This window comes from Homo sapiens, chromosome 7 (assembly GCF_000001405.40).
Source record: "Homo sapiens chromosome 7, GRCh38.p14 Primary Assembly".
In the NCBI taxonomy this organism is placed as follows: Eukaryota; Metazoa; Chordata; class Mammalia; order Primates; family Hominidae; genus Homo; species Homo sapiens.
The window spans coordinates 50,509,879-50,523,260 of NC_000007.14; the positions used below are offsets into that span (position 1 = coordinate 50,509,879).

Sequence of the window (13,382 nt, forward strand, 5' to 3'; positions counted from 1 at the left end):
TTCATTAAGTAATTTCAGGGCTATAAATCATTCCCAAGAAATTCTGATAAGTAAATTTTCTCATTTACTTATCTTACTTATATAAGATACTTACGTATCTTTTTTTTTTTGAGACGGAGTCTCACTCTGCTGCCCAGGCTGGAGTGAAGTGGTGCCATCTCAGCTCACTGCAAGCTCCGCCTCCCGGGGTTCAGGCCATTCTCTCATCTCAGCTTCCCAAGTAGCTGGGACTACAGGTGACTGCCACCATGCCCGGCTAATTTTGTTTTTGTATTTTCAGTAGAGAAGGGGTTTCACCGTGTTAGCCAGGATGGTCTCGATCTCCTGACCTCATGATCCGCCCACCTTGGCCTCCCAAAGTGCTGAGATTACAGGTGTGAGCCACCGCACCTGGCCACTTATGTATCTTACTTATTTACTTTGTTTACATAAGCTATTATAGATAAGTAAATAAGTAAATGAATAAAATTTTTAAGTGCACCAATTACTACAAGAAAGAATGTAAGTAGGCCGGGTGCTGTGGCTTATGCCTATAATCCCAGCACTTTGGGAGGCCAAGGCTGGCAGATCACTTGAGGTCAGGAGTTTAAGACCAGTCTGACCAACATGGTGAAACCTCATCTCTACCAAAAATACAAAAATTAGCCAGGTGTGGTGGTGCACATCTGTAATTCTAGCTATTTGGGAGGCTGAGGCAGGAGAATCACTTGAACCTAAGTAGCAGTGGTTGCAGTGAGCTGAGATCACATCACTGCACTCCAGCCTGGGTGACAGAGTGAGACTCCATCTCAAAAAAAAAAAAAAAAAAATGTAAGTAAGATGGCAGGGCACGGTGGCTCACGCCTGTAATCACAGCACTTTGGGAGGCCAAGGCGGGCGGATCACGAGGTCAGGAGATCGAGACCATCCTGGCTAACACGGTAAAACCCCGTCTCTACTAAAAATACAAAAAATTAGCTGGGCGCGGTGGTGGGCGCCTGTAGTCCCAGCTACTCAGGAGGCTGAGGCAGGAGGATGGCATGAACCTGGGAGGTGGAGTTTGCAGTGAGCCGAGATAGCGCCACTGCACTCCGGCCTGGGCGAAAGAGCGAGACTCTGTCTCAAAAAAAAAAAAAAAAAAAAAAACTCAACTGTTTAACACTAGCTTATTGCTAGGATATTAGGATATATCTATACACACACACACACACACACACACACACACACAAAATAATATATAATTTATTTAATAGGAGTTCATAAAATATGAATTTTATGAATACATAAAATACAAATACATACATATATGTACATATATGTGAATTCCTATTAAATAAATTACATTTATATTTATTTATGTTATATGTATGTGTGTACATATATGTATATATGAGAGAGATAGCTGGGAAAGATAGAGATATAATAGAGTACTATGCGACTTTTTTTAACAAAATTATACTTTTATATAATATATATAATGACCTGAAAAAAATGCTTGTAATATTTGATGTAAAGAAAGAAAATCTGACTAGGCATGGTGGCTCATGCTTGTAACCCCAACACTTTGGGAGGCCAAGGCAGATGGATCACTTGAGGTCAGGATTTCGAGACTAGCCTGGCCAACACTTTGGGAGGCCGAGGCAGGCAGATCACAAGGTCAGGAGATTGAGGCCATCCCGGCTAACACGGTGAAACCGTGTCTCTACTAAAAATACAAAAAAATTAGCCAGGCATGGTGGCACACGCCTGTAGTCCCAGCTACTTGGGAGGCTGGGGCAGGAGAATTGCTTGAATCTGGGAGGCAGAGGTTGCAGTGAGCCAAGATCGCGCCACTGCACTCCAGCCTGGGCGACAGAGCGAGACTCCATCTCAAAAAGAAAAAAAGAAAAAGAAAAAAAATTGATTCACATACTAAGAGAGAAGAAAAGATGGAATTCTATAAAATGCTCAGTTAAAACAAGAGAAGGCAAAGAATAGAAGACCAAAAATGAAACAAAGAATAAGAGCAGCAAATAGGAAAAGGTAATAAATATTGTAGATATTTATCCAACTACATCAATAATTATTTTAAATATCAATGGTCTAAATGCACTAATTGAAAAGGGTAATGGGTGCACCAAAATCTCATAAATCACCACTAAAAAACTTATCCACAAAACCAAACACCACCTATTCCACAAAAGCCTATTGAAATAAAAAATTAAAATTAAAATAATTAAAAATAAAATAAAGCACACAGACTGTCAGAATGGGTAAGAAAACAAGACCCAACTATATTTTCTGTATAAGAAATGCACTTTAAATGTCAAGATACAGATTAAAGGTATAGCGATGTAGAAAAATATACCATGCTAACACCAATGAAAATAAAGCTGGAATAGCTATATTAATTTTAGACAAAGTGGATCAAGAAAATTGTTAAAGAAAATTGTCAGGGATAAAAAAGAGCATTACAGATATAGGGTAAAGAGGAGATGAAGGAGTAGGAAGCACCAGGAAATCTGTCTCCCAGCTAAACAAAACTTTTACCTACTGGCAGAATCTGTTTGATGCAATTATTTTGAAACTCTGGGGTCTATTGAAGGCTTGCAACTTCAATATAAGGGTTGGACAGGAAAATACAGTTAATTTTGGTCAATTTTAGCTCTAGTACAGTAGTACCTACCCATCCACCACCCCCAGGCCCATGGCACATAGCTGAGCATGTGTCCCTGGAGCAGCTTGCACAGAGCTTGCAAGAGCCAAAGTGAGAAAAAGGGAACTGTCCTCCAAATATTGGGAGTCTGCACTTTGATTGTTGATTGTTGATTACTGATCCCAGTCACAGGTGCAAAGAGGTGGTGGCCATTGTTGTACACCCTGCCCATTGCTGCAAGACCCACCTTATCCAACTGAAGTGACTTCTGGGGGATAAAAAGGGCCAGTGCCTTTTTCCCCCCTTATTTTCCTCTTTTCCCTTTTTAAGGATACAGACAGTGTGAAGACTTGGATATTCAAAGACTAACACCTATGTAGGGGAAATTAGAAAGTCATCACACATACCCAGAAAAGACACAGGCTCAGAAAATAACTGAAAGAACCTTACATTTATACCTAAGGCCAATCATCATGGCATATGGGAGGCAGGACTAGATTGAGATTGCAGCACTGGACAGAGCAGCGTGTGGAGGCTCACATTTGTGAATTTTAGCTCCAGGTTGACTGCAAGAACAAACCAGCAATCCCGAGAGGACCCACAGACTCTGTGAAGGAAGTGAAATGCTCCTGCAGGTCTCAGGAGGCACCCTAAGTACTGTGAGTGCCCCAGCTGCAGAAGCGGGAAAGGGAGACCCTCCTCTCCTGAACACACACCCCCACTAGAGAAAGTGAAGGTCTGTTGCGGGAGAAGTTTCCGACTTTACCTGGATCTGAGTCAATTTAGACAGTCGAGCAAAATACAGGGGTAGAGGAAGCAGCAGAAAGGCACTGGGAACTCACTGGGTTCCCAAGCAGGTCATTCCTGCTGGCACCACAGGGATCCATTGGGAAGGCAGCCAGAGGAGCAGTGGGTAAAACTTCACAGGGAGAAGGAAATCTCCAGCTGAACATTGTAACAGTTCGAACGGATGAGAAGCCTCCTGGCCAGAACTCGGGGACGGTGCAAATCCGGTGTGCAGGCTCCAGAGGGAGGGGAAAAACCAAGCCCTTTTCTTTCATAGCTGGGAAGTAGGTAGCCTGGGGCAAGTTTTTAAGCCCCTCTCGCCCATGCCCAGAAACAGACTTGGGGCTCTTGGCAGGGGCACGGTGGGAGGGAGACAGGCCCTTCGGTTTGTGTGGGAGCTGGGTGAGGGCTGTGACTGCTGGCTTTCCCTACTTCTCTGACAACCTGCATGACTCAGCAGAGGCAGCCATAATCCTCCTAGGTACACAACTCCAGTGACCTAGGACTCTCACCCCCATCCCCCACAGCAGCCGCAGCAAGACCCACCCAAGGAAAGCCTGAGCCCAGACATGCCTAGCCCCACCCCCGCCTGGTGGTCGGTCCCTACCCACCCTAGTAGCGAAAGACAAAGGGCATATAATCTTGGGAGTTGTAGGGCCCTGCCCACCACTGGGCCCTCTCCATACTACTACAGCTGATGCTCTCTGGAAAGCACTACCTCCTGCAGAAGGCCAACCAGCACAAAATCAGAGCATTAAACCACCAACGCTAAGAACCCTCACGGAGTCCATTGCACCCCCTCCCCAACTCACCTCCACCAGAACAGGTGCTGGTATCCATGGCTGAGAGACCCATAAATAGTTCACACTGAAGGACTCTGTGCAGATAACCCCTGGTACCAGCCCAGAGCTGGGTAGACTGCCTGGGTGGCCAGACCCAGAAAAGAGACAACAATCACTGCAGTTCAGCTCACAGGAAGCCACATCCATAGGAAAAAGGGGAGAGTACTACATCAAGGGAACACCCTGTGGGACAAAAGAATCTGAACAACAGTCTTCAGCCCTAGATATTCCCCCTGACAGAGCCTACACAAATGAGAAAGAACCAGGAAACCAACCCCGGTAATATGACAACACATGGCTTTTCAACACCCCCCAAAAAAATCACACTAGTTCACCAGCAATGGATCCAAACCAAGAAAAAATCCCTGATTTACCTGAAAAATAATTCAGAAGGTTAGTTATTAAGCTAATCGGGGAAGCACCAGAGAAAGGCAGAGCCCAATGCAAGAAAATCCACAAAACAATACAAGAAGTAAGAGGAGAAATATTCAAGGAAATAGATGCATAAAGAAAAAGCAATCAAAACTTCAGGAAACTTTGGACACACTTTTAGAAATGTGGAATGCTCTGGAAAGTCTCAGCAATAGAATTGAACAAGTAGAAGAAAGAAATTCAGAGCTTGAAACTTTGGACACACTTTTAGAAATGTGAAATGCTCTGGAAAGTCTCAGCAATAGAATTGAACAAGTAGAAGAAAGAAATTCAGAGCTCGAAGACAAGGTCTTTGAATTAACGCAATCCAACAAAGATAAAGAAAAAAGAATAAGAAAATATGAACAAAGCCTCCAAGAAGTCTGGGATTATGTTGAACCTAAGAATAATCAGTGTTCCCGAGGAAGAAGAGAATTCTAAAAGGTTGGAAAACATATTTGGGGGAGTAATTGAGGAAAATTTCCCCGACCTGGCTAGAGACCCAGCCATCCAAATACAAGAAGCACAAACAACCCTTAGGAAATTCATGGCAAAAAGATCTTCACCTAGGCACATCAGACTATCCAAAGTTAAGATGAAAGAAAGAATCTTAAAAGCTGTGAGACAGAAGCACCAGGTTACCTACAAAGAAAACCTATCAGATTAACAGCAGATTTCTCAGCAGAAACCCTACAAGCCAGAAGGGATTGGGACCCTATCTTCAGCCTCCTCAAACAAAACAATTGTCAGCCAAGAATTTTGTATCCAGCTGAACTAAGCATCATATATGAAGGAAAGATACAGTCCTTTTCAGACAAACAAATGCTGAGAGAATTCACCATTACCAAGCCACCACTACAAGAACTGCTAAAAGGAGCTCTAAATCTTAAAACAAATCCTGGAAACACATCAAAATAGAACCTCTTTAAAGCATAAATGACACAGGACCTATAAAGCAAAAATACAAGTTAAAAAGCAAAAACAAAAAACAAACAAACAAAAAAAGTACACAGGCAACAAAGAGCATGATGAATGCAAGGGTACCTCATATTTCAATACCAAAATTGAATGTAAATGACCTAAATGCTCCACCTAAAAGATACAGATCCACAGAATGGATAATAACTCACCAACCATCTGCTGCCTTCAGGAGATTCACCTAACGCATAAGGACTCACATAAACTTAAGGGGTGGAAAAAGGCATTTCATGCAAATGGACACCAAAAGTAAGCAGGGGTAGCTATTCTTATATCAGACAAAACAAACTTTAAGGCAACAGCAGTTGTAAGAGACAAAGAGGGACGTTATATAATGGTAAAAGGCATTGTCCAACAGGAAAATATTGTAATCCTACATATATATGTGCCTATTACTAGAGTTCCCAAATTGATCAAACAATTACTACTAGACCTAAGAAATGAGATAGACAGCAACACAATAATAGTGGGAGACTTTAGTACTCCACTGACAGCACTAGACAGGTCATCAAGACAGAAAGTCAACAAAGAAACAATGGATTTAAACTATATCCTGGAACAAATGGACTTAACAGGTATATACAGAATATTTCATCCAACAACCACAGAATACACATTCCGTTCAACAGCGCATGGAACTTTCTCCAAGATAGACCATATAATAGGCCATAAAACAAACATCAATAAACTTAAGAAAACTGAAATTATATCAGGCACTCTCTCAGACCACAGTGGAATAAAACTGGAAATTATCTCCAAGAGGAACTTTCAAAACCATGCAAATACATGGAAATTAAATAAACTGCACCTGAATGAGCACTGGCTCAAAAACAAAATCAAGATGGAAATTTAAAAATTCTTCAAACAGAACAACAGTAACGACACAACCTACCAAAACCTCTGGGATACAGCAAAGGGGATGCTAAGAGGAAAATTTATAGCCCTAAACACCTCATTGAAAAGACTGAAAGAGCACAAACTGACATTCTAAGGACACACCTCAAGGAACTAGAGAAACAAGAAAAAAATGAAACCCAAACTCAGCAGAAGAAAGGAAATAACCAAGATCAGAGCAGAACTAAATGAAATTGAAACAAAAAAAAAATACAAAAGATAAATGAAACAAAAAGCTGATTTCTTTGAAAAGTTAAATAAAATTGATAGACCATTAGCAAGATTAACCAAGAAAAGAAGACAGAGAATCCAAATAACCTCACTAAGAAACGAAACAGGAGATATTACAAGTAACACCACTGAAATACAAAAGATCATTCAAGGCTACTATGAGCACATTTATGCACATAAACTAGAAAACCCTTAAGACATGGAGAAATTCCTGGAAAAATACAACCCTCCTAGCTTAAATCAGGAAGAATTAGATACCCTCAACAGACCAACAACAAGCAGTGAGATTGAAGTGGTAATTTAAAAATTACCAACAAAAAAAGTCCAAGACGAGACAGATTCACAGCAGAATTCTACCAGACATTCAAAGAATTGGTACCAATCCTTTTGACACTATTACAGAAGATAAAGAAAAACCCTCCCTAATTCATTCTATGAAGTCAGAATCACCCTAACACCAAAACCAGGAAAGGACATAACCAAAAAAGAAAACTACAGACAGATATCCTTGATGAACATAAATGCTAAAATCCTTAACAAAATAATAGCTAACCAAATCCAAAAATATATCATAAAGATAATCCACCATGATCAAGTGGGTTTCATACCAGGGATGCAGGGATGGTTTAATGTATACAAGTAAATAAATGTGATACACCACAGAAAGAGAATTAAAAACAAAAATCACATGATCATCTCAATAGATGCAGATGCAGAAAAAGCATCTGACAAAACCCAGTATTCCTTTATGATTAAAACTTTCAGCAAAATTGGCATAAAGGGACATACCTTAATATAATAAAATCCATCTACAGCAAACCCACAGCCAACATAATACTGAATGGGGAAAAGTTGAAAGCATTCCCTCTGAGAACTGGAACATGACAAGGTTACCCACTCTCACCACTTCTTTACAACATAGTACTGGAAATCCTAGCCACAGCAATCAGACAAGAGAAAGAAATAAAGGGCATCCAAATCAGTAAAGAGGAAGTCAGATTGTCACTGTTTGCTGCCAATATGATTGCTTGCCTTGAAAATCCTAAAGACTCCTCCAGAAAGCTCCTAAAACTGATAAAAGAATTCAGCAAAGTTTCTGGATACAAGATTAATGTACACAAGTCAGTAGCTCTTCTATACACCAACAGCAACCAAACTGAGAATCAAATCAAGAACACTTTTATAATAGCTAAAAAAAAAAAAAAAAAAAAACCTTAGGAATATACCTAACCAAGGAGTTGAAGACCTCTACCAGGAGAACTACAAAACATTGCTGAAAGAAATCATAGATGGGGCCGGGCCTGGTGGCTCACACTTGTAATCCCAGCACTTTGGGAGGCTGAGATGGGCGGATCACAAGTTCAGGAGATCAAGAAGATGCTGGCGAACATGGTGAAACCCCATCTCTACTAAAAAATACAAAAAAATTAGCCAGGCGTGGTGGCAAGTGCCTGTAGTCCCAGCTACTCAGGAGGCTGAGGCAGGAGAATGGCATGAACCTGGAAATGTGAAGGTTGCAGTGAGCCAAGATCATGCCACTGCACTCCACCCTGGGTGACAGAGCGAGACTCCATCTCAAAAAAAAAAAAAAAGAAATCATAGATGACACAAACAAATGGAAACACATTCCATGCTCATTAATGGGTAGAATCAATATTGTGAAAATGACCATACTACCAAAAGCAATCTACAAATGCAATGCAATCCCCATCAAAATACCACCATCATTCTTCACAGAAATAGAAAAAAACAATTCTAAAATTCATATGAAACCAAAAAAGAGCCAGCATAGTCAAAGCAAGACTAAGCAAAAAGAACAAATCTGGAGGCATCACACTACCTGATTTCAAACTATACTATAAGGCCATAGTCACCAGAACAGCATGGTACTGGTATAAAAATAGGCACATAGACCAATGGAACAGAATAGAGAACCCAGAAATAAATCCAATACTTACAACCAACTGATCTTCAACAAAGCAAACAAAAACATAAAGTGGGGGAAAGGACACCCTTTTCAACTAATGTTGCTGGGATAATTGGCTAGCCACATGTAGGAGAATGAAACCGCATCCTCATCTCTCACCTTATACAAAAATCAACTCAAGATGGATTGAGGACTTAAACCTAAGACCTGAAACTATAAAAATTCTAGAAGATAACATTGGAAAAACCCTTGTAGACATTGGCTTAGGCAAGGATTTCATGAACAAGAACCCAAAAGCAAATGCAATAAAAACAGAGATAAATGGCTGGGACCTAATTAAACTAAAGAGCATTTGCATGGCAAAAGGAACAGTCAGCAGGGTAAACAGACAACCCACAGAGTGGGAGGAAATCTTCACAATCTATACATCTGACAAAGGACTAATATCTAGAATCTACAATGAACTCAAACAAATCAGTAACACGATAAACAAACAATCCCATCAAAAACTGGGCTAAGGACATGAATAGACAATTCTCAAAAGAAGATATACAAATGGCCAACAAACATATAAAAAAAATGCTCAACATCACTAATAATCAGGGAAATGCAAATCAAAACCACAATGCAATACCACCTTACTCCTGCAAGAATAGCCATAATCAAAAAATCAAAAACATTAGATGTTGGCATGGATGTGGTGATCCAGGAACACTTCTACACTGCTGGTAGGAATGTAAACTAGTATAGCCACTATGGAAATCTGTGTGGAGATTCCTAAAAGAACTAAAAGTAGAACTACCATTTGATCCAGCAATCCCACTACTGGGTATCTACCCAGAGGAAAATAAGTCATTATTAGAAAGAGATACTTGCACATGCATGTTTAAAGCAGCACAATTCACAATTGCAAAATCGTGGAACCAACCAAATGCCCATCAATCAACGAATAAATAAAGAAACTGTGGTATATATACATACAATGGAATACTACTCAGCCATAAAAAGTAATGAATTAACAGCATTCGCAGTGACCTGGATAAGATTGGACACATTCTAAGTGAAGTAGCTCAGGAATGGAAAACCAAACATTGTAGGTTCTCACTGATATGTGGGAGCTAAGCTATGAAGACACAAAGGCATGAGAATGATACAATGGGCTTTGGGGACTTGGGGGGAAGAGTGGGAGCGGGGGTGAGGAATAAAAGACTACAAATGTGGTGCAGTGTATACTGCTCAGTTTATGGGTGCACCAAAATCTCACAAATCACCACTAAAGGAATTTACTCATGTAACCAAATACCACCTGTACCCTAATAACTTATGGGGGAAAAAAAGTTTACACCTAAGGCCAATTTTCAGCACAGAGGTAGTCTACAACAATCAAAACCAAAACAAACAAACAAACAAACAAAAACCAGTAAATCCTGAAGATGGGCGAGAATCTACTTTTCACAGTTACTATATTATTAGTGATAGAACTCTAAGGAGAAACAGATAAACTCACTCTTATAGTTGGAGACTTTGTCACCCCTTTGTCAGAAATGGACAGGTCCAGCAGTCAGAAAATAGGTAAGGATATAATTGAATGGAAAAGTACCATCAATTAACTGGATCAAATCAATATTTGTAAAATATTTCATCCAATGACAGCAGAATATATTTTCTTTCTCACGCTCACAATCAACATTCACCAAGATATACCACATTCCAAGCCATAAAATACATCTCAACAAATTTAAAATAATGGACATTATACAAAGTATGCTCTCAGACTGCATTGGAATTAAATTAGAAATCAATAATAAAAAGATAGCTGGAAGACCCGAAAACTCTTAGAGATCAAACAACACATTTTAAGGTCAAAGGAGAAGTCTCAAGAAAAATTTAAAAGTACTTCAATGAAAATGACAATAAAACTCATCAAAATTTGTGGGATGCAGTGAAACAGTACTTAAAGGGAAATTTACAGAACTGAATGAGTACATTAGAAAAGAAGGGAAATCTAAAATCTATAATCTAAGCTTCCACCTTAATAACCTAGAAAAAAAGGCAATTTAAATGCAATGTGGCCAGGTGCAGTGGCTCATGCCTGTAATCCCAGCACTTTGGGAGGCCGAGGCAGGCGGATCACCTGAGGTCAGGAGTTCAAGGCCAGCCTGACCAACATGGTGAAATCCCATCTCTACTAAAAATACAAAAATTAGCTGGGTATGGTGATGCATGCCTGTAGTCCCAGATACTCAAGAGGCTGAGGCAGGAGAATTGCTTGAACCTGGGAGGTGGAGGTTGTGCCACTGCATTCCAGCCTAGGCAACAGAGTAAGACTCTGTCTCAGAAAATAAATAAATAAATAAATAAATAAATAAATAAATAAATAAATGCAATGTAAGCAGAAGAAAAGAAAAGAAATAATAAGAATTAGAGCAGAAATCAATGAAATTGGAAATAGGAAATAAAGAAAAAAGCTGACTCTTTGAAATGATAAATAAATTTTCAAACATTTATACAGGTTAAGAAAAAAGACACACATTGCTAATATCAGAAAGGAAAGTAGAACCATCATTACTAATCCTATGGACATTAAAAAGATAATAAAGAAACAAAATGGATTCCAAGGCCACAAATTCAAAAACCTAAATAAAATAGACCAACTTTTTGAAGGATACAATTTGCCAAAACTCAGACAAAGAGAAAGAGATAACCTCAATGGTGCTACATCTATTTTAAAATTAGATCAATAATTAAAAACCTTCTAAAACAAAGAAACCATGCCAATTGAATTCACTGCTGAGTTCTGCCAAACATTTAAGGAAGTAAGGATTACTTACAGAAAATAGAAGCAAAAGGAATACTTTCTGACTCATTCTATGAGACCAGTATTACAAAGACATTGCAAGAAGGAAAACTATAGAACAATATCTCTCATAAATAGAGATGCAAAAATTCTCAACAAAATATTAGCAAATTGAATCCAACAATGTAAAAAAAATTATATATCAGAACCAAGTGAGATCTATTCCAGGATGGAAGGCTGATTCAACATAGAAAAATAAATTAATATAATCTATCATTTCAACAGGCTGAAGGACAAGAATCTCATGATTATGTAAATAGATACAGAAAAGTGTTTGACAAAATTCAACACTTGTTCATAATAAAAACTCCTAGCAAACTAGGATTCGAGCAGAACATCCTCAACTTGATGAATGACATCTACTCTTAACATCATACTTGATGAATGAAAAACCTACTCTTAACATCATACTTGATGATGAAAAACTAGATGTTTTCCTACGAAGATCAGGAATGAGGCAAGGATGTCTGTTCTTACTACTCCTATCAACATTGTACTGAGAGTTTCAGCTAATGCAATAAGACAAGAAGAGGAAATAAGAGATATACAGATTGGAAGGAAAGAAAAAAAGTATCTTTGCAGATGACATGGTTATCTGTGTAGAAATCCCAAAGAATAAACAAAAACAAAACTCTCCCAGAACTAAGTAAACAATTATGGCAAGCTGTAGGATAAAATGATAATATTAGATAAAAGTTAATTGTTTTCTTATCATCCAGCAATTAAAAAAATGAAATTTGAAAATAAAATAAAAACCATTCCCATTAGCACCAAAAAAAGTAAAAAGAAAAAAAAAAGAATGAGCTTTATATGAGGAAAACTACAATACTCTAATGAAGAAAATTTTTTAAAAGATCTAAATAAATGTAGGCATATTTCACATACATGGATAGGAAGTCTCAATATCATCAAGATGTCAGTTATTTCAACAAAATGCGTAAATTCAATGCAATCCTATATAAAGTCCCAGAAAGTTATTTTGTGCATTTTGCTAAACTGATTCTAATGCTTATATGAAGAGGCAAAGGACCTAGAATAGTCAACATAATATTAAACAACAGTGTTTGAGATCTGACATGACACTACCCAAATTCAAGACTTAGTAGAAAGCTATAAATCAAGACAATATGGTATTGGCAAAGGAAGAGACAAATAAATGAGTTGAACAGAAATAGATCCGCACAAATGAAGTCAACTGATCTTTGACAAAGGAACAAAAGCAATTCAATGGAGGAAGTGTAGTATTCAACAAAAGGTGCTGGAACAACTGAACATCTGCATTAGTCCATTCTCACATTGCTATAAAGAACTTCCTGAGACTGGGTAATTTATAAAGAAAGGAGGTTTATTGTTCCATTACAAAGAAAGGAACTATTGGTTCATAGTTCCACTGGCTATACAGGAAGCATGGCTGGGGGGGCCTCCGGAAACTTACAATCATGGCAGAAGGTGAAGGGGAAGCAAGCACATCTTCATATTGCCAGCAAGAGAGAGCAAAGGGAGAGGTGCTACACACTGTTTAAACAGCCGGATCTCATGAGAATTCACTCACTATCATGAGAACAGCAAGGGAGAAATCCATCCCCATGATCCAATCACCTTCCACCAGGTCCTTCCCCTAACACTGAGGATTACAATTCCACATGGATTCGGGTTGGGACACAGAGCCAAACCATATCAACATCTACATGCAAAAAATGAATCTAGACATAGACCTTACACCTTTCACAAAAATTAACTGAAAATAGATCATAGACCTACATCTATTTTAATGTTTTAAAGTACAAAACTATAAATTTCCGAGAAGATAATATAGGAGAAAACCTAGATGACCTTAGGATT

At 38.8% G+C, this 13,382-nt stretch overlaps 1 protein-coding gene across 10 annotated transcripts in view, besides 1 other annotated feature; it reads right to left on the reverse strand.

The window, feature by feature from the left end:
* DDC (dopa decarboxylase) overlaps window positions 1-13,382 on the reverse strand; it is a 106,964-nt gene that overhangs the window by 51,437 nt on the left and 42,145 nt on the right. The window lies entirely within an intron of this gene.
* Window positions 3,709-4,343: an enhancer, noted in NCBI's record as "H3K27ac-H3K4me1 hESC enhancer chr7:50581285-50581919 (GRCh37/hg19 assembly coordinates)". NCBI's record gives its function as "activates a minimal SCP1, AML or CMV promoter by ChIP-STARR-seq in naive H9 embryonic stem cells {active_cell/tissue: H9 hESC(naive)}" and the evidence as "EXISTENCE:reporter gene assay evidence [ECO:0000049][PMID:30033119]".